The sequence below is a fragment of the Homo sapiens genome, chromosome 11 (genome assembly GCF_000001405.40).
Source record: "Homo sapiens chromosome 11, GRCh38.p14 Primary Assembly".
In the NCBI taxonomy this organism is placed as follows: Eukaryota; Metazoa; Chordata; class Mammalia; order Primates; family Hominidae; genus Homo; species Homo sapiens.
Window position 1 is genome coordinate 114,226,571 of NC_000011.10, and position 23,574 is coordinate 114,250,144.

Consider the following 23,574-nt stretch of genomic DNA (forward strand, 5'->3'; position numbering starts at 1 on the left):
CTACTTCACGTTTCCTTTTAGTGTCGGCATCTGAGGCTGGGGTTTCTCTCCAGACCCTCCTTCAGAGTGCCCAGGGTTGGCGTGTCTGAATGTGTGAGAGTGTTGGGAGGGACCACGCTGCCCATGAGGAGCATGCACACCACCTGACATGACCTTGAACTCCAGCCAGATGCCTACCAGACACTCGTCTTCCTTCCCTGAAACTGATTTATAGAATCAGGAGAGCAACCTACTTGAAAGGAGGGTAGTTCCAGATGTGGGGGTAATGGGAAATGCTAGTGGGCAATGTGCTCTTTTATTTTACTATTTTTCTTTATCATATCATATTCCTCTCTCTCCCTCCCCAAATAGCAAGAAGGACAGTATCTTCCTTCCAGGCTTTAAAATCCCTTGCGTGCAGCCTGACGTTGCCTAAAAGCCTCTCCCTCAGGCCTACGGACTCCCTCTCATTGCTTGCCTATTCAGTAAGCCTATAAATTTACTGTCCCCTGTCCACCACCATCACCACCAGCCTGTTGTGGCAGGGAAGGTGGCCTGGTGAGCCCAGTGGACTCCAGCAGGACTGCAGCAAGGCGATACTGCTTTGTGCAGCAGCCGGAGCAGCGCTGTCCCTGAGGTCTGCAGGAAAGTCCTGGGGCCCAGGAAGACAGTGGCCCATCACCCCCAGTATTGCACATCAGGTATCCCCCACCTGTGTGCACCATGCACACCCCCACCATCCACCTCCTGGGCCCCATGTGCTGGGGGAAGGTGTGGTCAGCAGACAGGGGAGGATGTCATGCTGACGGAGCCCCTTAGAACAATAGGAGCTTCACAGGATCACAAAGCCTATCCCCCCTCATGTTACAGAAGAGTTGAAGTCCAGAGAAATCAAATTCATTTGTGCAATCCTTTATCCATCTATTCGTCCTTCTCTCCATCCAATAAATATTCATTGAACACCTGTCAGAACCAAGAGATAGAGTGCTGTATAAGAGAAGTGAGGTCGCAGCTCTCATGCAGCTTTCATTCTGACAGGTGGGGAAGACAGTAAACCTTGAACTTAAAGCAAGTCTCTAAGTCTTGTGGGTGTCACAGCTGAAGACTAAGGCTGGGCCTCCTGTAGTGTCCTTTGCAAGGCCCCATACTCCCTGCTTCCTGGGAGGCCAAGCATTTAGTTTGGCTCTCCATTGCAGATGGAGAAGTTTGAGGGAATAAATACCAGTTTGGACTAGATACTTCTGGGCGGCAGAAGGGTACAGGTAGTTTCAGACCAGGATTGGTTTTTAATTTTTTAATTTTGGTAAATTATATGTAATGCAAAATTTGCATTTTTAACCATTTTAAGAGGACAATTCAGTGGCATTAAATACATTAGCATTGTCATGCAACCATCAACACACACTGTATCTCCAGAACTCTTATCATCCCGTAAAACAGAAACTCCGTACCCATTAAACACCAACTCCCCATTCCTTCCCTGACTCCTAGACAGGGATTCTTAACTTTTTTGTGCCATTGGCTCCCTGGGCAGTCTGGCGAAACCCCTGAACTCTTCCTCAGAATCAGGTCTCTAAATGCAGAAAGTAAAATACATAGGATTGTCATGGAAACTTGAAATACAAATATCAAAATATTTTTTAAAAACCATTTGTAATATAGAAATATGTGTGATTCTTTGTTATCCCATTAACCAATAACATCAGGCTGTAATTGAATAACTACCATATTTTTGCGGGAGTGGCTTGCATAGATGATATTTTGAGATGACTGCAACATTTCTAGTGCAGTGTGAAAATACCTGTAAAGTCTACCGGTGACCAAGTAGTTACCAGTACTGCCCATATGACTTGCTGGTTGCTTATATTCCTAATGGAAGGAGCCACTGAATTTCAGTTGGAGGTTGGTGAAAATAAAGATGTCACTTTTTTCCCCTCTCTGAGTTCACCAATCTCCTGAATTCTGTCCCTGGACAGCTTAGGGGTTCCGTGGACTCCAGGTTAAGAAGCCGTGCCTAGACCTGAGCTCACTCCCCTTTTCTGCCTAGAGGGGCAGTGCACAGTGCACGGGGCTGGGAGCGTGTTGATACGTAGGATGTCGTGAGTGAAGCAGTCCCTTTGCAGGGCATCACAGGAGCCCAGCCAAGGGGAAAAGGTGCCCCCACTCTCCCCAGGCCGCCAGCCTGCTGTCTGAGGTGGGCGGGGCCGGTGCCCCCTAGAAGTGTGCCTTCTGGCAGCTTCCCCCGCCCCCTTCCACCCTCTTGTCCAAGGGCTCAATGCAGAAGGGAGCCATATGGTCCTTTGTGGACACATTTTCCCTAGTACAGTATCTTCCTGGTGTGAATGCAGGCCTGGCGGGCGCCCTGGTGTCAGCTGTCCCTCCCCTTCCCTGGCGCCCCATCCCCCATAGCCAGCCCAGAGAGTAGCAGGTTGTGGGGAGTCGGGGAGCCCTGCAGAGTCGGGGTGAGTAAGGAGTCTTTCAGTAACACCCACACACACACTCACACAGAAAACTGTGGAAGTGAAGTCAAACGTCTCAAAGTCAGATCCCTTTTTGGTATGAATTTGCTGTGTCTCATTCTGGGCACTAATTCCAATTTAATTGCGAGTGGCCTGAAGCCTCTTCAATAGGAGTAACAAATGGTTTGATTTTGTAAACTTCATCAGACTGCATTTTAAATGCGACACAGTAGCCCAACTCGAATGCCAATGAAGCACTGGAGTAGCTCTCTGTTTACTAATTATCCGTTTTTACTCCAAGCCACGCTGGCTGGCTTGTCTGATTAAATCGGATTTGTGGGATAGAGAACAGCTAGCAGAGTTTTCTCTATAGTAAACGAGATTGAAACTATGGGCCGCCTGGCTGCACACTGTAAATTATATTTCCTTTTAAAGGGGACGTGTCTCTTTTATTTCTCTGTCATCCCTCCTGCATATTAAACTTTACGGTACAGAAGTATACCCGGCTGCTTCTAAATCCAGCCTCTCACCCTCTACCTGGTAGCCCACTCTCACTTTCTGTGATTTCTGTCTCCTTCTCTGAAGGACTGGAAAGGAAATTCGTAGCTACGTTCTCTGCTCCTTTATCTTTTTAACCCTTTTCTTTTCTTCCTCTTTATTCTGGAATTGGCTTTTCATTATTCCATTATTTTCAAAGATACCTGTGATGACATGGATGCTTAGAAACTATATTGAGTTAGCTAAAAGAGAGTTCTGGCAACAGAATTTACCAGGACCTAACACAGACTGGGTTTTAGCTTTTTAGAAGGATGTGAAGATGGGTGGTATTGGGCCGGGGCAGGCAGGGGTTGGGCATGAATTGGTAATGATAGTTTGAATTGTGAAAAAAGAGTCAATTTCTGAAAAATCAAATGTGTTCCTTTGGTTCACCTGGAATGATGAAATCCCTTCCTCTGAACGCAGTGAAATCAGAATCACCTGATTTCTACCTGTGGCCCAGCGGAGAAGGCCGTGGGGCAGGTGTTGGAAGGGTGAACGTTGGTGGTCCCGCCCTCTCGGTTGAAGCCCAGGTTGGGGCAGTGGGTGTGTCCTCTTTCTACTCCCTGGCTGGTTCTGGGTCTGACGTAGAGCTCCTGGGCTCGATTTATTGTTTATTCCTCTGACCCTAGGAAGGCAAAACAACCTCTGTCCTTGGTCCTTCCTGTAATGTGCACGTGCATGTGCAACACACACATGCACACACATGCAGGTACATGAAACAAACGCAAGGAGCCCTGAATCAGGTGTAATCAGGCTGTGCGTACATTCTGCCGTTGCTAAGACCAACTCCATGAGCTCGACCTGCCCTGCCCTCATTCTTGGTATCTATGTATGCTCTGGGAGCTTTTTTATATTTTAATTTGCTTCTGAATGTCCTGCAGAATTAACAGTATCTGTCTGCACTTTTCCCTTTTTGGCTATTGTGTGCCGTACAGTACGGGAAGGCCGCATGGTGTCTCTGATATTGATAGCCTGGTTACCGTGGGAATGAATGGCCACCACACTCTCAGGCCCACAGCCCTCCTTTTAATTGTTGACAGTAAAAAGCATTTAAATGCTGCTTAATTTGTAATCATCTTCTGTGGGGGGGGGGCGGGAAGGAGAGGAGCCATTAAAATGTCAGTAAAATGAATACATCCTCTCCTTTTTTGTTATTTTGTTTTGCTTATTTATATGGGGTAGTTTTTCTTTTCATTGCCCAGTGTTTGGGAGATATTTAAATGGCGCTGAAACAATCAGTATTTCGTTTTATTTTGAATTTCTGTCTCGCCCAACCCCTGCTCCCCTCCCCACTCCATTCTGTCTCCCTGGGCCTTTGTCTTGCCTCTGTCTCTCTCTCTTTTCTGTCTGGGTCTCCTCCTGCCTCCTGCCTCTGCCTCCACCTCCCTATCTCTGGAATACATTGGGGTTTACTGGAAATTTTACATGAGAGCCTAGCTGAGGTTTTTGGGTTTTTTTCCCCCAGAGAACCTACTCCTGGGCTGCAGTTTCTCTGCAGGGGCCTCAGGATGACTTTGGGAATGTCTGAAACTAGAGAGAGTGACCATCTATAGAAAGCATCTTTTACATGTGAAGTATACTGGAGATGAAAGAGTCCTGGGGATAACTTATTGTTCAGACAAGGAAATTGGGTCTTACCTTCACGTGGAAACTCCGTGCCTCCCGTGAAGCTCTGGACACACAGCCAGAATGTAAATGCCTACTATGTGTTGGACACTGTGCTCTTGTAATGAAACTGCTAGATTCAGAGGGTCTGGTTCTCTGACTTGCTCTCTATATGGGCTTTCTTGGGGGTCTTCTCTATCATTCTGCTGCTGGGGGCTTGGGAGAGAAAGCTCCCCCTCCATATTCCCCACCCCAACTGCTCAGCCCTCACCTGGCACAGAGAGGCTTCAGGTACTCTCAGACCCAGCTACTCAATAATTGCCTCTGTGAGTGTTCAGCCAGTTCTAGGAGGTCTTAAGCTGCTAACTGGTAGTCCCCTAGAAAAGGGACCTAGAGGTTCTCTCAAGTCCTGTGAAATTTTCCCATCTTCCTAAAAATCCCCATCTCACAGTGCTGCTTGAGAAAGGTTGAACCTAGATTGGCACCCAGCAGGTGCCCAGTCAATGTTGGATCCTTTCTTTGCCTTGTCTGTGACTGTCCCTCTGTCAGCCTAAGAATGTGGTTCCTTTTAGTTAAAGAGATTCTCTTTAGCTAAAAGAAGGCTGTGAAGTCTGACTTTGAAAGAGAAAATGCTGACGTCCATCTCAGTGGGAGAAAGGACCATTCAACCTGCCAGCACCCTCTTCAATAGAATTGTTGAATATTAGAGTGGAGAAAAACCCTTTAAGGATCACTTATATCCCTCTTCATTTTACTGTTGAGGAAACTGAGGCCCAGAAAGGTCTAGTAACCCACCCAGGAGTGCACAGCGAGTTAGTCACTGAGCCAGGACTTGAGGCCAGGTTTTGTACTCTTGTTCCTGTTCAGTTGGGAGTCTGCAGTAAAAAGCCACGTGAGGGCAAGAGGATGGCTGGGATGTGAAGATCCTGGCCTGCCCTTTCATGCTCCGTCCCGATGTTCCCCCACCCGCTTTGGGGCTTCTTTTCCTGGAAGCCTCTAAGATCAGCTGAATTCGAGACCAAGGGACCCATATTTCTTGCAGTGCTCATGCAACCTTGCAGAGGGTTACAGGCAGAATACATGCCAGGGAATGGACTTAGGAAGAAACTGATTGTAGCTTTTGGTTTATTTGCTACCCACCTACCCCCAAATGCAGGAAGTAGGGAGCCCTTTGGCTTTAGGAACCCTGAGAGTAAACAGGTGCCTGTCTCTCTCCTTTGAACTTCATTTCTACAGAACAAGCAGTGTAGAGAAACCGAGGAAAACAGTTCTCTGCATCTTGGGAGAAGTTGTTGAGCACGGGGCCCTCAAGTCGGCACCCTGCCTACTTGCTCCATCCCACAGTCCATCATTCTCCCAGCCTGATCCCATCTCAGAGGCACCTCTCTGCCAGAACGGGCAGTCCCTGAGAGAGGCTTCCACATCAGATGCCCCACCCAGGGTTGGGCTGGGTTGGGTTGGGCTGGGCTAGGCTAGGCTTGCTCTGCAGAGCTGGGCTAGGTTAGGCTACTGCAAGCTGCCCTTCTCCTCTCTGGGTTGTTGAAGTTGGTCCGATTTTTCAATCGTGGGCCAATTAGTTTCACAAATGGGGGCCCCCGTGGTGCCAGGGCACATTTGTTCCGGGCCTGCGCACTGGCCAGGCCCCATTGTTCTGCCTCCCACCCCCATGTGGGCCCATTGTCCTCGCCCCCAGCGGGTGCTGCTTACTGCTGATTTATACGGGCAGGCGTCCTGCGGGCTCCAGGCTTCTCTGCCACAGCTGGCGGAGGTGCTTAAGGCCTTGGACCCCGTGACCTTTGCCCTAGTCCTGCTGTCATTTTGAAAGTTACAGACCAGAGGGCTGCATACCTCTCCGGATTTACTTTCCACCCCAACTCATCCCCGGCCCCACCCACTCTACTGCACATACGCATGCGCGCGCGCGCGCGCACACACACACACACACACACACACACACACACACACACACACACTCTCTCTCTCTCACACTCCCTTTCCTTCTTCCTCTGCTTGCTCTTGGAGAAGTTTTAATTCATTCTGGAATGTCTGGAAGGGTCCAGCCACTGGACTGGAAACCAAGAAGAAGGAGCTGCTGGGGCAGGTGGGAGGTACCAGCGGAGGATATTAGTCTCTGCTGATGTGCTTGGAAGCAGCTACTTCCCGGAATGTGGTTTTTAATCCTCGGATTCATTAGTTCCATATCTGATGCTGGGAGGAAGGGAGGAGGATGTTGCTGTCGGTGTGGCACTGCCAGGGAATCAGGACTTGATTTGGCTTCTTGCAACTTAACATGCCCCCTTCCTGCCAGAGGCCCCTGCACCCTAGAAAGGGCAACGCAGCGTAGGAGGTAGATTGAATGTGAAGGTGGTTTTGTAGCCCAGTACGAAAATGCAGATCTTGTCCCCTCTTAACCCGTTTATTCTCTCTCTCCTTGCAAACCAAACTTCTCTCCTCCTTTTTTTTTAAAACCTCCTTCCCTTTTTTTATCCACCCCTTTTCTTGTCCCCCTCCCTCATTTTCTCCCCCTCTTGGGCTGGTTTGTTGGAGTGATTGACAAAATTAGTAAATCCATTCATGTTACTTTTATTGTGCAGGTCTCAATAAATCCCCCATGTCCAGGGCGCACCTTAATGAGCTAGTGAGCTGACAAATTTGTTTACTGTAGCTGGAGGTGCCGAGTAATGAAATGCACTTGTGTCTGCAGCTCACTGCTAAACAAATACACGGTTTTCCGGGAGCCAGCTCTGCTAGCTGCTGCTGCCTGAGGACACAGCCACATTCCCCAAGAGACTGAAAGTTGTATGTGTGCATATGTTTTGAAAAATGTAATCACTCTCTCATCCATTGCTTAGTTTTAAAACAAATCTGAATCAGCTGCTCAAACTCCTCCCCTTTTTTGTTATGCAATGAAGATGCTTTTGCTCCCTTGACTGACGGTATTGAAACCGTAACATTCCCCTTTTCTCTTGTGGAAATGGAATGTCATACAGATGTATAGATGCCTTCCATGATTCTACGCAGATAAGAAAGGAAGGAAAAAGGGGCAGAGAGGGCTGGATAAAGAGACCTAAATTTGACAAGGACGAAATTGACAAGTGATGCTAAGGTTTTTGGCTCTTAGCTTGGTTTGGGAAGATGTAACTGAACGCCTCAGCAGTGGGTGACTCTATATGCAGGAGACAAACACCCATGCATGAGCTCAAAGCTAATTGAGTTTGAGACAAGTCTTCCAAGATGGTATCTTTGTGTATTCTACCCCAGTAAAAGGAACTGGGGAACTTGTCTCCCACTCACCAGCAGCTGATTGGAGTTTCCAGGGTTCGGTGGGCTGATTTGGCCTTCATTGCCCACATAGCTAGCCTTCTGAGGAACGCCAGGAGTACAGTAGTGCATCCCTAATGATCCTGAAACTCATGCCCAAGAGGAAAACCAGAGAACTAAAGAGAGGGCTCTTGGCCATTTGTCCAGTAGATTCCTTGAAAAGGAGGTGAGTCCTAAATGATAGCACAGGGGAAGTCAAAATGGAGGAGCCACTCAGATTCAAGGGCTGGACTTTGTTCCTTTCTGTCTATTCCTCACCCCACCCCAGCCTTCTCCATCCTTTTAAGATGCAGACAGAGCCTTCCTTCCTTGGGTGGGAGTCAGCCTGATGCTGCTTGCCTCTGCCTCTCTTTCTCTCTTGCCGAGTGGATGGTACAGCCCTGCTACCTTTTTCAGCAGCAACCTGGGGGCAAAGGGAGGAGAAGATGGGCGAAAGGAAAAGGCGTCAGTTTATATGATGGTTTGAGTGTGTGGTCACGAAGGTTGCCCATGCTGGAGATGGTGTCTTAGGAAAGAGTAATCCCCCAGGATGTCAGAGGGAGCAGAAAGACATATCTGAAGGATTTGGGGGCTGGGGGTGGAGGGAGGGGGAAGTTTCTAGTTTAAATCAAGGTTTTCACACCCTCCTAAATTTGATATTTTCTTTCTGTGGGGAGAAGAAGCTTTCGGGGTGGCAGGGGAGGCAGTCCTTCCTTTGTTGGGTGAGGTTGGGTAGGATTGGACGTGAGAAGCCCCTCCGGGGTACATGTGCATGCACGAGCACACACGGGCATGCACACACCCCAGCACATGCACACACAGCAGTCCCAGCCTGCTTACCAAAAAAAGCTGGAGTATATTTAGATCCCTCTGCTCCTTTGATTAAGAAACTGCTTATAGCAGGAGATAATAAGAGCTTTGCTCCAAGAAGGTGTAGCACCTGAACATCTTCTCCAGCTGTGTACCCCTCTGATCCTCTTCCTTCCCATCTATTAAAGAGATAATTGGTATGGAAATGGCACAGGTGTAAACATGAGGGGTTTTGTGTTTCATAATTTCAGACCCCGTCATCACCTGGGTGAAATACCCTAGGTCTGTGTCACCCCTTCTGCCTACTATTCCACCCTGGCCTGGCTTTCTCCCTTTCTCTCTCTTTCTTTCTTTCCCTCTCCCTTCCTTTCTTTCTTTCTTTCTTTCTTTCTTTCTTTCTTTCTTTCTTTCTTTCTTTCTTTCTTTCTTTTCTTTCTTTCTTTTCTTTCTTTCTTTTTCTTTCTTTCTTTCTTTTCTTTTCTTTCCTTCCTTCCTTCCTTCCTTCGTTCCTTCCTTCCTTCCTTCTCCTTTTTTTTTTTTTTGCTAAAATTAAGCTTGTTTTAAATTGGAAGACTTTGAGTCATACATGCCCTGTAGTCAAAACTGGCAGTGTTGCCACTGGGGGGTCTGGTGTGGGTCACCTTCTCTGGAGATAGAATTGATGCAAATGTGGTCCCAGATATTTGCATGGATCCTGCCCATATTACTAAGAGTCATGTTCCTTGAGTCTCGATAGCATCATCCTTTCTACATGCATCCCCTTTTCCTACTTCAGATTCCCTTTGAGCAGATACCCTGGGAGTCCAGGCTAAGACTGAGTCCCATTCATTCTTCAGAACAGCAGAGGTGCTAATTCCTTGACCTGAAAAATTATTTTCTTGGGTCAAAGCTGACTTATATATCTGATTTACATTGAAATGTACAGATTGATAGAAAACAATACATTTTTAGGATTTACATAATCAAAAACATTTGTCAGTTGCATCATAACAGGGCTATGAAGTTAGGGTTGGAAAGGGCAGGTTAGTTATGAATTCTCTTATCCTAGATGAAGAAACCAAGGTTAAGGACAACCACTGCCTGGACTAGGATCACAAATCCAAGAAGGGCTGTACCTCTGGGCCAGAATTGGGATCTTTGGACTGTTTCACTGTATAATATGGCAAAACTGATCCTTCTATGGTCTGGGTTTTTGCTTCCGAGCAACAGAGCTCAGACATGGAGTGACAACGAAGGAGTCCTGTCCAGCCCACCAGACAGACACGGGGGGCCTCAGTGAGATCCGCTGCCTGTGGGTCACTTGTCATTACTGATTTCCAAGGAGAGTCTTGTTGGATGCTCTTAGTAGTGGTTTCATTTGTGGACTGTAGTCTGAACTTTCCTCATCCCTAGCCCTCTGTCTGTACCATGACTCTCCTCATACCTCCTCCTCTACCCTTTGTGATTGTCTTACAACCCCTTATTTATTTTCTAATTCAACATGCAGTTATTAAGTGCCTACTCCATATCAGGCTGTGTACTGTGTGTTGGGGAATATAAAGATGAATACAATAGTTCCTACTTTGGAGGCTTATAATCTATTAGGCAGAGCTGAAAGTCCAAAATAAATGCAATACAGGGCTTTACGTGATACAACAGAGCTCAGAGGAAGATGGTGTTGTTGGCACTGAATCCTAAGTGGTGTAACTCCTCAAAGATGCCTTCTCTAGGGTCAGCTTCCCAGAAAGTAGCAGCCCAAAGACAACAAAACAGCTTAGGCATGTGTATTGTGCAGGGCTGCCATGACTCATGATCCAGGTCGTTCACTGCACAAGGGTGCCCAGCTGAGGAGGGAAGATCCCAAAACCCTGCCCTCTCTGTACTCACCATAAATATGCAGCCAGGTCTGTGGGGCTGGCCAGAGGAGGAGACGTGATTTTCTAATTCAGATGAAGGTGTTGTTTGGCCATCATTGGCTCTGTGACCACATTATAAAGTTTTTTCGTGTGGATATCTCATTCGATGTTCTTGATAACCACAGTGGCAGATAAGGAGCAAATGGATCTGGTGAAAAGAATGACTTGCTCGGGGCCACAAGGCAAGTATGTGGGAGAGCTGGGACCCCTGTGCTGCTTTTCCTTCCCCTGTGTCATGTGGACCATCTGACTTCTGAGGGTCTCGTTTATCCAGTCAGAGCACCTCCCCTCTCCCCAGTGGTACCAGGCCTGACGTCTCTCCATAGCAGAGGACGGAACCCAGGCGTTGAAGGGAGCAGAGCGTTCCAGTGCTGCCGGGCCCCCCTGCCCCGCCGCACATCTCACTGCAGCTAATGAATTGCTAATACAATTTTCTAGATAATTTTATTTCCATAGTCCCACATTTTAATGTGTTTCCAAAAGCTAGCATTTATTTGCTTAATCTCCCAGTGTAATAGAATCTGCCCTGACTCATCATACATGCGAACAATCAGCTAGGCTGAAACGCCAGCAAATTGTTTAATAACTCACATCTAGTCTCTAGATTTTTAACTCGCATGCACCAATAGCTTTTCTTGTGTCTCATCCACATCTCCCCCACTTTTCCATTTTTTTAAAAATACTTTTCTATCATCATAGCTGTTAGTTTCTAAGCAGAAAAATGGGGAAAGTGGATGCTGAGTCTCAGAGGCTCCCCTTTCTTCCCCTGGGAGCCTTGGTTGGTGGATACGTGACCAAGGAGCACCCCTGCACCTTGTGGAATGTCCCAGGAAGGGGAGAGAGACCACTGTAGGGACATCATAGTGTTTCCTTTCCAGCTGGTGACCATATGACTTCCAGCCTGTTGGCCAGTTGTGGAACTGGCCATCTGGGATTTTTTGCGTGCCACTCCTCCCTTGCTGTCCCACCTTTCTAGGATTTTCTCTCTCCCTTTGCCCTGGCAGCCTCTGCCCTGGTCTGGTCCCTACCCTCCTCCAGTGGCCCATCAGCCCTCTCGCTGCTTCTAACCGCTTGCTGCTGCTGTTGGTCCCCATGTGTGCCCAGAGTCACTGGCTTCAAACACAGGTCAGATCGTGCTAGCACCACTCGTCTTAGTCAAGTCAGGCTGCTATAACAAACTGCCACGGACTGGGTGGCTTATACACAGCAGACATGCATTTCTCACAGCTCTGGAGGCTGGGAAGTCTGTGATTGGGGTGCCAGCATGTTCAGGTTCTGGTGAGGGTCCTCCTCCTGGTTGCAGACTGCTGATTTCTCGGTGTCCTCACGTGGTGGAAGGGGCTAGCTAGCTCTCTGGGCCCTCTTTTACAAGGACACTCATTCCATTTTAATTACCTAATTATCTCTCCCAGGCCCCACTTCCTAATACCATCACCTTAGGGGTTAGGATTTCAAAAAAGGAATCAGAGGGGGACCCAGACATTAGGATCATAGCAACCCTCGGTCCTTTCATGGCACTGCATTGCCTGTAGAATAAAGTCCAACCTGTCCTGCCTGGCATATGCAGCCCTCTGATCTGACTCCCATCACCCTCCCAGCTTGTCTCCATCCCCAGGGCCTGACCTTGGCCCCATCTGCTCTGACATTTGCCAGTGGTGTCTCTCTCCTTAGCCTGGCACATGTGTCCCAACTTCTTGTCCTTTGCTTCTCAGATACTCAACTTTTAAAAGCCTAACTCAAAATCTCAGGAGCTCTTGGAGTCGCCCTGCCTTACCCTCTGGGTGGTTGTTAACTCAGCATCTCCCACTAGTCTGGGACCCAGTTTCTCTGCTCAGCCTTAGCCTGCCCCTGGTCACCTAGCACAGTGCCTGTACTTGGTAGTGGCTCAGTGAGTTGGCTGAATGGACATGAAGTGGGTTCAGGCCACCCTGAGAAGTAGGGACAGCATAGTGGGGCAGTATCGAGGGGCCTTGGAAAGGCCAAGGGGGCAGAGTGCTGCAGTCTGCCTTGCTGGGTGTATTGACACTCAGAGCACCTGTGGGTCTGGCTGTATAGGCTGAGATGTCCTATTGGGAATGCCATTCATGTTCCCTCTGCCCAGGTTCCTTCCATGCCGGGGATCTCAGAGGATGCATAAGGAGAAGCCTTGGCTCTTAAAGGGCATGGCTGGCCTCCAAAGCCTACTCAACCCTACTGATTTAAGGTAGCTGTTTGAACACCTGGCTTAATTTGGGCTCTCTGTGGGGTGGGGGTTAAGGGCAGAGAGGGAGTAGATGCTGGGGGCTCTCAAGTTGAAGGAGTGGGGGCCACCGGGCACAGAACGCATTGCAGATGCACTGTCCTCCTGTGTACGTCGGCCAAGCAGGGAGGGACATTGAAGACTCACTGTCAACTCTTGGCATTGCTTCTGTCCAGAAAGATACATCTCTCATTATGTCTCCCTCCAGCAAGTGAAGCTGAGTAGACTACTCAGCATTTCTGAGAGACCTTGGTGGCTCCCAGTGGGATTGGAAGGCCTCAGAGAGCTATGCCTTGTGACCCAGCCCCAGCTACTGCCCACTCCTGGCCAGGGGTTCTCTAGCCATTGCTGGAGCTGTACTAGAGGCAGGAGTCCTCTGTACCATCCTTACTGGGCCTCTTCCAGGGTAAGCCCAGACAGGCGGGCAGTCAGCTCCAGAGGTAGCATTGAGTCCAGCCCCGTGGTTTCTGAAAGACAAACCGAGATATTTTCAGATCCCAACTCTGCCTCTTTCTGTGTGATCTTAGGCAAGTTATTTAATCTCTCTTTTACACTGGTAAAAAGGGGGATAAGAATGCCTGCCTTGTAGGATTGCAAGTTTTAAATGAACTGACAACATAGATAAGGTACCTAGCATAACGCCTAGATTCGCTCCCCTTCCTTCCTGCTTTTTGTTGGCCAGGAGCAAAATCCTGTGCTGGCTGTTTTTCTCCTTCCCTGCTCAGCCTTCCTGACTGCTGGTGAGATGGGGCGTGGCTCCAGGTGCTTAGACTTCAGTGTCTGCAAAGGGAAGGGATATCAGGGTGGGTGTGAGGGGCACAGAAGTGTGGGGGACAGTGAGAGGTGGGCCTTGCCTGCCTACTAGTCCATCCTAACCCAGCCATGAGTGGGACGGAGGTGGTGAGGACCAGACCTCTCACTTGCTATCTCCATTGATGGCCAGGAAGGCAGGGAGGTTCTTCGTGCCATCCCTTCTCTTCCCCCTACCTTCCACCAGACACTTCCCGATTCCATGCTGAGCAGCCCATGGCTTCCAGCAGCCAAAGCTTTACCCCCTCCCCCCACCCACTCTGGACTGGACTGACAGATGCTAGGCCTACTTACGTTTCCTGCTTGTGCCTTCCCACACAGGGGACAGCGGTGTGGGGCCAAGTGCAGGTGATATTGCCCAGGCACCAGCACAGAGACACACAGATGGGCCTGCCGGGGAGCTCCTGTGCTCAGGAAAACAGAGCCCAAAAGGGTGGGCACTGAGCTGCCAGTTAGGACTCAGACACAAGGTCAGATACTTCCTCCTGTGGTGCTGCAGCTGGAAATTTCGGCCATGGCTCCAGAGCAGTGTCAGAAAGGGATTGGTAACAAACAGAAAATGGCAGCCTGTATGTGTGGGGTACTTTGGGGATGAACAGCCAGTTAGAATTAAATGAAAATCTCACATCACTCGCTAGCTTTCAATCCTTTGACAGTTGCCCATCGGGTTTAGGATGGAACTAAATCTCTTGACGTGGTTTGCAAGACCCTGCATGGCCTGGCCCTTGCCTTTCCCTTTAGCCTCCTCTTCTTCCCCAGCTGCACTGCACCATTCCTCTGTCTGATCCTCCCACCGGCCATGTTTCCTCCTGGCCCAGAGTGTTCACAGACACTATTCCATCTTCCGGATTCCGCCATTCACCTGGTGTTCTGGGTAACGTCGGTCATGAGAGCAGGGACTTTGCATGCTCTTCCTTGGTTATATCCCCAGTGCCAAAAAGACAGCCTTGCTTGTAGAAGGCATCAAATAATACTTGTTGAGTGAATGGACCTAAGATTCATGCTTTAGTGAGTGGAGAAGTAGTTAAAAAAAAAAAACAAAACAGGATCTGTAGCTAGTCTTGGGAAAGCATTAAAATCTAGGGTGTGTGAGTGTGAACCCCAGCCCTGCCACTTACGAACTCTATGGCAGGAGTCCCCAACCCCCGGGCCATGGTCTGTGAGGAGCTGGGCTGCACAGCAGGAGGCGAGCGAGTGAAACTGAGCTCCGCCTCCTGTCATATTAGTGGCGACATTAGATTCTCACAGGAGCATGAACCCTATTGGGAACTGTGCATTCAAGGGATCCAGGCTGCACACTCCTTATGAGAGTCTAATGATAAATGTAATGTGCTTGAATCATCCCAAAGCCATCCCCCAACCATACGTGGAAAAATTGCCTTCCATGAAACCAGTCCCTTGTGCCAAAAATGTTGGGGACCACTGCTCTGTGGGATTTTGGCCAAAGTACTTAATCTCTCTGTGCCTCAGTCTCCTTGTCTAAGGGATGAGGATAACAGAGGCTAGCTTTTTGAGTTTTGGATTTATATTAGTTATGTTAGAACAATGGCTGGCCCATAGTATCTTTGTTATTGTTTTTTCTCGCAGGGTCTACCTTGCCTCCCCCACTTTTTGCCCTGTACTCTGTGAAGTCCATCTGGTATATGCTGTCTTAGTACCTTGCCGCCTTTTACATACCACCCGACACAGTTGCCCACTACCCTTGCTGCTGCGATGTATTTGATCAATGTCTATCCTTTAGCTTTAGCTTCCAGAGCTCGGGAACGACGTCGATTTTGCCCATCACTGGGGCCACATACTGGGTGCTCAGTGTTGCATAGCCTGGGCCCACTCTGGATTTGCCCCTGAGCATGGGGATTTGGAGGTGTGAGTCCCGACACTGGCTCTCACTCCAGATGGGTAAAGAATGCACCTTGTATTCCCACCTTTCTGAGGCACCCCCTCTCCTGTCTCCCACAGGCACTGACATGGCCGTCTTCTGTCTGCTGTGTGGGAAGCGCTTCCAGGCGCAGAGCGCACTGCAGCAGCACATGGAGGTCCACGCGGGCGTGCGCAGCTACATCTGCAGTGAGTGCAACCGCACCTTCCCCAGCCACACGGCTCTCAAACGCCACCTGCGCTCACATACAGGTAGGTCAGTCCAGCTGATGGGTGGATCTGGGTCTCTGGGAGCCAGCGTCTATATTTACCTCCAAGGACGTAAAGTGGAGGTGGTGGGCTGAGTCAGCCTTCAGTCCTTCTGCTCAAGGCTTGGACGTGCAGAGGCTGCCCGTCGTGCAGGTAAATGTGGACAGTTCTCCCAGTCCCCTCCTGTGGACCGTCGGTTCAAAGTCTTTCCGTGTTCAACACAGGATGCTCATTAAAAAGGCAGGCTCTTGGGTCCCACTCTCAGAACCTTTTATTCCATGGGTCCAGGGTGGGGTCCCAGATTCAGCATTATTAATATGTATTCCCAAGGGATTCTCATGTAGGTAGACCCAAAATGAATTTTGAGAAAAACTGACCTGCTGGGTCTCTTAACATTGTCTGCCCTGCCTCCCACCACTCTTGATGCCCCGCCGCTCTATCCATACACATTTCTGAAGTCAGCTTCGGGCTTCTGAGGGCAAGTTGAAGCAGTGATCCTACTTTCCCCACAGTAACAAAGGCCTGTACTTGGACCTTAACCCTGTTTAGGGAAGACAAGGAGGGCATTTAAACGATGAGCAATGAAATATCACTGCTCAGCCAGTTCCAGGTGATGGGACAAGGGAGGGGGTACAAGGTAAGGAGGCTGGGCCAGGTGCTGAGGGGCTGGCCATTCCCTGCCACCAGCCTCTAGGGCTTGAGGGATGGGGACACTTGGTCCCTGATGGCCAAGAGGCATTTGCTTTCCTGCAGCAGCTCCCAGTTTTCCCTAACAGGGGAGTGGATGGCTTAAATTCCTTATTTTCTCTATGACAAAACTGGGGCTCTGCTGAAACTACCTGGTTAAAGGAATGCCCATTTCTGAGTCTGCCTTTGTGTGCTGTGTTTGTAGGGAGGGTTGGGGTCAGGTCTCTATCTGGGTATATAACAGAGCGTATACTTGTAAAAACCTCTGCATGCCACGTAAAGGAACAGTAGGCCCTCTCCTCATTTTGAGAGTCTTGTCACAGCTCAGAGATTGAGTATGCAGACCAGGTCTTGCATGGGTGGCAGGCTCTGCTAAATAAGGGAAGAGCTTTACTTCTCATGGACTGAGCTGGCCTGGCCAGCCAGCAGCAGGTATCCTCATTAAGGAGCCTTCCTGGCTGTCACTTCTGGATGCCATTTTGTTCAGGGGAGCACATTGTCTTAGCATCACCAGATTTGCACAGAACTACTTAAAATTTCTGGGACAGGACGGAGGTAGGGCCCAGAGGGGTGGGCTCAATAAAAAGGGCCCAGGAGAGTGGGATGTTGACAAGGACTTTCTCTACAGCGATTGCGTAAGCATTTCCCCTGCAGCTATATGCACCTTCCTATGAACGCCTCCCTCAACAGTTCCCCAGGTTCATTCGGTCTTATGAAAGATGGCTAGATACCTTTCAGCCACTTCTGAGCATGCCACTGGGTCCAATCAGTTGGCTTCATGTGACTTGAATGATCTCAGTCCTGCTAAATCCACCCAGGATGTGCCCTGCTCTGACCATGCCACCTTCTCAGAGCTCAGATATGAAAATGTCACATGCTCTTGTGTCAGTCATGGCTCAGATCCACGGGGAGGGGCTGTTTCCAGAGTTAGGGAGAAGCCCTTGCTTATTCTAGGAAACACGGAGCATGTGTGCTGCCTATGCACACACAGAGAAACACCCATCAATTTTCACACCAGCGAGGCACTGCGCACACAAGCCATATACAGGCTGTGCACACCCCACACACAATGCCTCATTAATATTCCGTTGTTCTTGGCCCATTTGCTGCTGGGGCCGGGTGTTTAGCATCAGCAGCTGTGTTTGGTAGGTTAGTCCAGCCGTGCTCTTGGCATTGATGGATCCCTGATTCACACGGCTCATCATATAATAAACTCTCAGCTGTGCTGAAGGGAGGGGCTGGAAGGGAGGGGCCTGAGGAGCCAGCAGGATGGGGCTGGGGTGGGGAGGACGACAGACACTGGGCTTGGCCAGTGCCAGAGAAAGCACCAAGTAAGGACAGATTGGGGGGGGCGGGGTCACAGGTGCACTGGGCAGGCTGGAGGGGGCTCTAATTAGTCTCGTTTGTCCTGCACTTAATGTCAAGCTCATTAAAGAGGCTACAGAGTTAATCAACATACCACAAATTGGATTTTGAGTTCTGCAGCCAGTTTTGTGTACATTATGGCCACACTGACACAATCAGCTCTCAGGGTGAAGATTTCACGCCAGGTGCACACCGTGCTTCCAAATCGGGATGGGGATACGTGTGTGTTGGTGACTTTTTCTTTCTTTTTTTTTTGTTGTTGTTTGTTTTTCCTTCTAAGTTCTTTTTATTCTTTTCCCTGGGCAGACTCAAGAATTTCCTATTTAAACTCATTTAACATGTGCTCCACTTCATAATTAAATTCCTAAAAATCGGATCAAACAAACTCCTCTGTCTTAACCCTTTGTTTTTTAAATTGTTAGGGACCCCTCTGGAGGGGAAAGGCACAGGCAGCCGCCCCCTTCCCCCCCACCGCCGCCTTCACCCCCACCCGGCTGGGTGGCTGCCGATGTACGTTTTAATTACCGGCTCCAGCTGAAGTCTCACGTGGCCTTGGCTTTATTTATTTATTTATACCTTAATGAGGATACTGAATCTTTGATTAAAGTCGTAATCGTTGCCGATTCAGTAAGGAGGGGGAGTTGGATGTCAGACCAGACAGGGCTGTGAGTGCAGACACACGGAGAGAGTGGGTTCGGGTGCACACACAGACTGGCCCTTACTGTGTTAGACACACAACTAATTAGTACCAGGGTCTGCACAGGCCTCCACTCCCTTGAGTTTGATGGGGCTGGGGGCCAGGCAGTCCGCATGGCTCTGGCAGTGAGGATGGGCAGGTAGCAATTTCCCCAACTGAGAACCCTGGGCCTTGGCCCATCCCCAGATCTGCAGGTGAGGGACTCGCTGGCCGAGCCTCTGAGCCAGTGCAACACCCCATAGATTGGGGTGAACTGGTGTCAAGGCACGATGCCACTCTTTGAGCTTCTCTCATCTGATTCCCTGATGGAAGTGCCCCTCTCATGGCATGGGTGCTTCTTGCAAATCTTCCACCCATGAGAAAGTCACTGATCAGACCCCAGCATCCGCTCCCCTCAGAGCCCTAAAAACCCCTCAGAGCCATCAGAACAGATGAGAATTTATGTGGGTACAGGGGCCTAACTTTGGGAGGGGGGAGCTTTGGTTAGTGGCCCGAGGAGGGGAGAGACAGGAGAGAGTAAAATATCATTTTAAAAAGGAAGTGAAGGCACAGGCATGCGAGTCTATAACGAGAAGGACAATTTATGCCCAGGCACGAGCGCAGTTTGACATGGGGATAATGCAAAAACGTAGGTCATTGTGGATGACTTAAACCTTCAGCAGCTGAAGAAAATGTATGAAATGCAGAGGACATTACACGGTTGGCAGCCCCGCACATCTGCAGAGGGACAAGTGAAATACAGTGGGCCATTCTTTACCATAAACTGTGGTTGTTGGAGATGCAGCCCAGAGAAATTGTAATTACAGTGACAAGACGAATCAGCGATATTTAAATATTCATGAACAAAGTCTGGGGTGATCAATCTATCTTTATTGTCTGCGCCTTCACTCCTGTAATAAATAAGTAGCTGGAGTCCTCACCTTTCATCCCCCAAGCCCCCCACTTTGGATATGAAAGGCAAGATGGTTATTCTCCACACCCCAACCTCTCATGCTCTGGAGATTTAAGAGTGGGATCCTCAAAAAAGAAAAGGCAGTTCTCTCCAAGTTTCATAGACCCACCATTTCCTGGGTCTGTTCTGGATCCTCCCTGTGCGATACACTGAGGCTACAAGGATGGGTGAGGCTTGCTTCTTATCCTGGTGGTGCTTCCATGCTGGAGGTATGGTGGGCAAGCCAGTAGATACAGCATAGTGTGTCAGCAAGCTGACAAGTATATGGTACCCTGACTCTAGAGCCAGACCCAAACCTGAATCCCAACTCAGCTCCTTACTTGCCGTTTCACCTTAGGGATGATGTGGAAGCATCTCATTTTTTTCTCAACTGTAAAATGAGACTAATATCTTTCTTTAAGTTTGTTGCCATGATCATCTGATGCGATCACATCACACATCTGAGTGCTCAGGAAATGTAGCCCATTTTAATGCGAAAGTGGCATAAAAATGATACCACACTAATAACAGAACAAAATTCTGGGCATTTCTTCTCTTTGGGGACACAGAAGAAAGTGTGATTCATTCTGCCTGGGGAACTAAAGGGAAGCGTCCACGCGGGGGTATCATATGAGCTGGGCTTTGAAGGATGATTAGGAGTTCACCAGGGAGAAAAGAAGAAATCGAGCAGAGGAAACAGCTATGTAAGACTGTGGAGGAAGGAAATTGGGGACTGTAGAAGGTGTTTGGGGGACAATGTGAAGTTCCTCAAATTGGAGAGATTTCTTTGAAGGTTGGGGAGTCAGGCTGGAGTGACTTTCACCCTTAACCTAAAGGAAGGGGAGAAGAGGTCATCTGAGAAGCAAGATGGTGAGGTCTCATGTATCCACAAGGGGGCTTGCTTTCTGGGGACTGCTGTCCATCCCTGAACCAAATGGGCTCTCTTTCCCAGGACTGGCCCTTGCCCCACAGATGATCATGGGGCCACAGTAAAGTATGGTCATGTGTGAAGACAGGTATTGCTTGTTTATTCAATGGAGGTGTGGCCGTGGATCCTTAAGTTGTCTTTGGAGGTGGTGAATACAGGCCGTCGCATCCTTCTCATGCACAGAATGTGCCCTACTGTCCCCTGAAGAGGGGGCAGGGAGAGGCAAAGGCCTGATCCAGCCCCTTGTCTCCACAGGCGACCACCCCTACGAGTGTGAGTTCTGTGGCAGCTGCTTCCGGGATGAGAGCACACTCAAGAGCCACAAACGCATCCACACGGGTGAGAAACCCTACGAGTGCAATGGCTGTGGCAAGAAGTTCAGCCTCAAGCATCAGCTGGAGACGCACTATAGGGTGCACACAGGTACCGAAGGCCAGGGAGGGGCCTGAGCTGGCTCTGGGACCTGGGCGGAGGTGGGAAGCAGATAGTCTCCTAGAGAAGCCTAAGTGAGGATGATCCCAGGCTGAATCAAAGAGTAGAAGAGGTTCTATTAAGAGCTGGTATGGTGGCCTGAGGACCACCACACCCCAGTCAAGGTGGCCTGAGGGCCATCAGTCAAGGCCAAGGCAGACATTACTAATCAATCCCAGCACACTTTCCAGTGAGCCCCCATCAGCCCTCCAGGCAGCTATACCAGTAGTTCAGAGGTGACATGCAAAATGATGTCTGTATATGAGTCCTGAATTAGGGGTAAGTTGGTCCAATTAGCTGAAAGTGAAGGTTAGGGTAATTTCATGTTACTCAAGGGTTAGAGTAAGAATTAGGATACATTGAATTAGGTTGTTATGAAGGTTGGGAAGTTGTAAAGTTAGATTGTGTTTGGTTCTGAGATTAGAAGAGCAGATATATTTAATAATCCCTATATGCATATGATGTTTTACCACTTCAGAGTGCCTTCACATTTTTTTTTTTTAGACGGAGTTTCGCTCTTATTGGCCAGGCCGGAGTGCAGTGGCACGATCTCAGTTCACTGCAATCTCTGCCTCCTGGGTTCAAGCGATTCTCCTGCCTCAGCCTCCCAATTACCTGGGATTACAGGTGTGTGCCACCACGCCCAGCTAATTTTGTATTTTTTTTAGTAGAGACAGGGTTTTGCCATGTTGGTCAGGCTGGTCTCGAACTCCTGACCTCAAGTGATTCACCCGCCTCGGCCTCCAAAGTGCTGGGATTACAGGCGTGAGCCACCGTGCCCATCCACATTATTTTTTGTATTGGAAAAAGAAATGTGGGCCACTGTTTTCCCTGAGGTCAAAAGACAAAACAAGTGAAGGGTCTTCCACAGTTTCCCAAGTTGGGGGCAGTGAAGTCCTGGAGCTTGCTTGTGAAAGCTAATTTTTCACATTTCTTCACAACTTCAAGTTCAGTGACACCACCTTAGTTGCTTAAAATTGGCCACTGTAGGAGTATTCACATCATAGCAATCAGCAGATGCTACAAACCAGGGCTTTTTGGAAAGCCAGTCATGAAACATTTACCACCAGCACACTGCTGGTTGTGGGGAAGGTTGATTTACAGAAGGGTGAGAGGTGGTGGAAGCTGGAAAACAAAGACGCCCCCTCTGATCAGGGGAGACAGCTGTCCTGTCCAGAGGAAGGGGGAGAGGTGGCTTCAGGCAGGTCCTGCTGGCTTAGAGGAGAGTACGTTGCCCTTGGAGGGGAAGGGTGGACAGAAGGAGCAGTAAGCAGAGCTATGTGTTGTCAGAGCTCGTTTTTCGTGTCCCAGTTTGAGCCCACAAGGAGAGGGTTGGGTGTCCGTTGATGACAACTATAGTGGCCCAGAGGATTTCCCAGAGCCCTGGGGTTTCCTTAGCCCCTTGTCAGGGATGTGACCTGGCAGGTGGATCATTAACTGTATTGGCAGTGACTATTGTAAATAGCTGGTCGATAGTTAGATCACTTTGGCTGTTCATTACTTCATTATTTGCTGGGGCCTGTGCGCGGGGGAGTATTGATAGCGAGATGGCTGGCCAGTTAATTACTGTATTGAAACAAGGTTCCCTTACATCCTCTGCTCAGCTCTAGGGGACTCTATGGAAGGAAAGTTGGGGTATAGAACGCTAGGGTGTGGCTGTGCACTCCCAGGTTCTTTATCCCTCCCATCCCACCCCACCCCCAATTCCAGCCTCAGGAGGGAGGCAGGGTCCAGGGCAAGGTCTTAGCGGTTTTAGCAGGATAGGCCGGGTGGGGGAGCTCATGCCTATAATCCCAGGACTTTGGGAGGCCGAGGCAGGCAGATCACTTGAAGTCAGGAGTTCAAGTCCAGCCCGGCCAACATGGTGAAACCCTGTCTGTACTAAAAATACAAAAATTAGCCGGGCATGGTGGCGGCACCTGTGATCCCAGCTACTTGGGAGGCTGAGGCAGGACAATCACTTGAACCCGGGAGGCAGAGGTTGCAGTGAGCTGAGATTGCACCACTGCATTCCAGCCTGGGTAACAGAGTGAGACTCCATCTCAAAAAAAAAAAAAAAAAAAAAAAAAAGGCCGGGCGCGGTGGCTCACGCCTGTAATCCCAGCACTTTGGGAGGCCGAGGCGGGTGGATCTTGAGGTCAGGAGATCGAGACCATCCTGGCTAACAAGGTGAAACCCCGTCTCTACTAAAAATACAAAAAATTAGCCGGGCGCGGTGGCAGGCGCCTGTAGTCCCAGCTACTCGGGAGGCTGAGGCAGGAGAATGGCGTGAACCCGGGAAGCGGAGCTTGCAGTGAGCCGAGATTGCGCCACTGCAGTCCGCAGTCTGGCCTGGGCGACACAGCGAGACTCCGTCTCAAAAAAAAAAAAAAAAAAGAGAGCTTTAGCAGGATAGGTGTCCCCAGGTGCAGCATATTTGAAGGACTGGGTTCCCTCAATTTCCCCCCACCCCTGCTCCCCACCATCTGTAGCCCTGAAAGGTCTCGATCCACCTGCTCTCTGGACGGAACTGTGGCTTGAAGAGCCATTCCTGAGGACTTTGGGGCCTTTCTCTTTCTAGACACCCATTTTCTTAATTAGAAAGGGAAAAGACTGTGGCCTTGGGAGAGTTAAGAATAGTAAGACAAGGAGCTGGGCAATCCAGTAGTCAACTAGCTACATGTAGCTATTTAAATTAGTTACAATGAAATAAAATTAGAAAACTGTAGAGCTGCAGTCGCACCAGCCTCAT

General features: G+C 49.3%; 1 protein-coding gene across 5 annotated transcripts in view, besides 1 other annotated feature; it reads left to right on the forward strand.

The window, feature by feature from the left end:
* Window positions 1-23,574, forward strand: part of ZBTB16 (zinc finger and BTB domain containing 16) — a 197,060-nt gene that overhangs the window by 166,860 nt on the left and 6,626 nt on the right. For all 5 annotated transcript variants that reach the window (NM_001354750.2, NM_006006.6, NM_001354751.2 and 2 more), the window contains 2 exons: window positions 15,597-15,767; window positions 20,628-20,795. In NM_001354750.2, coding sequence (NP_001341679.1) covers window positions 15,597-15,767; window positions 20,628-20,795 — 339 coding nt within the window. The remainder of the gene's footprint in view (window positions 1-15,596; window positions 15,768-20,627; window positions 20,796-23,574) is intronic.
* Window positions 13,885-14,384: an enhancer, noted in NCBI's record as "H3K4me1 hESC enhancer chr11:114111177-114111676 (GRCh37/hg19 assembly coordinates)". NCBI's record gives its function as "activates a minimal SCP1, AML or CMV promoter by ChIP-STARR-seq in naive H9 embryonic stem cells {active_cell/tissue: H9 hESC(naive)}" and the evidence as "EXISTENCE:reporter gene assay evidence [ECO:0000049][PMID:30033119]".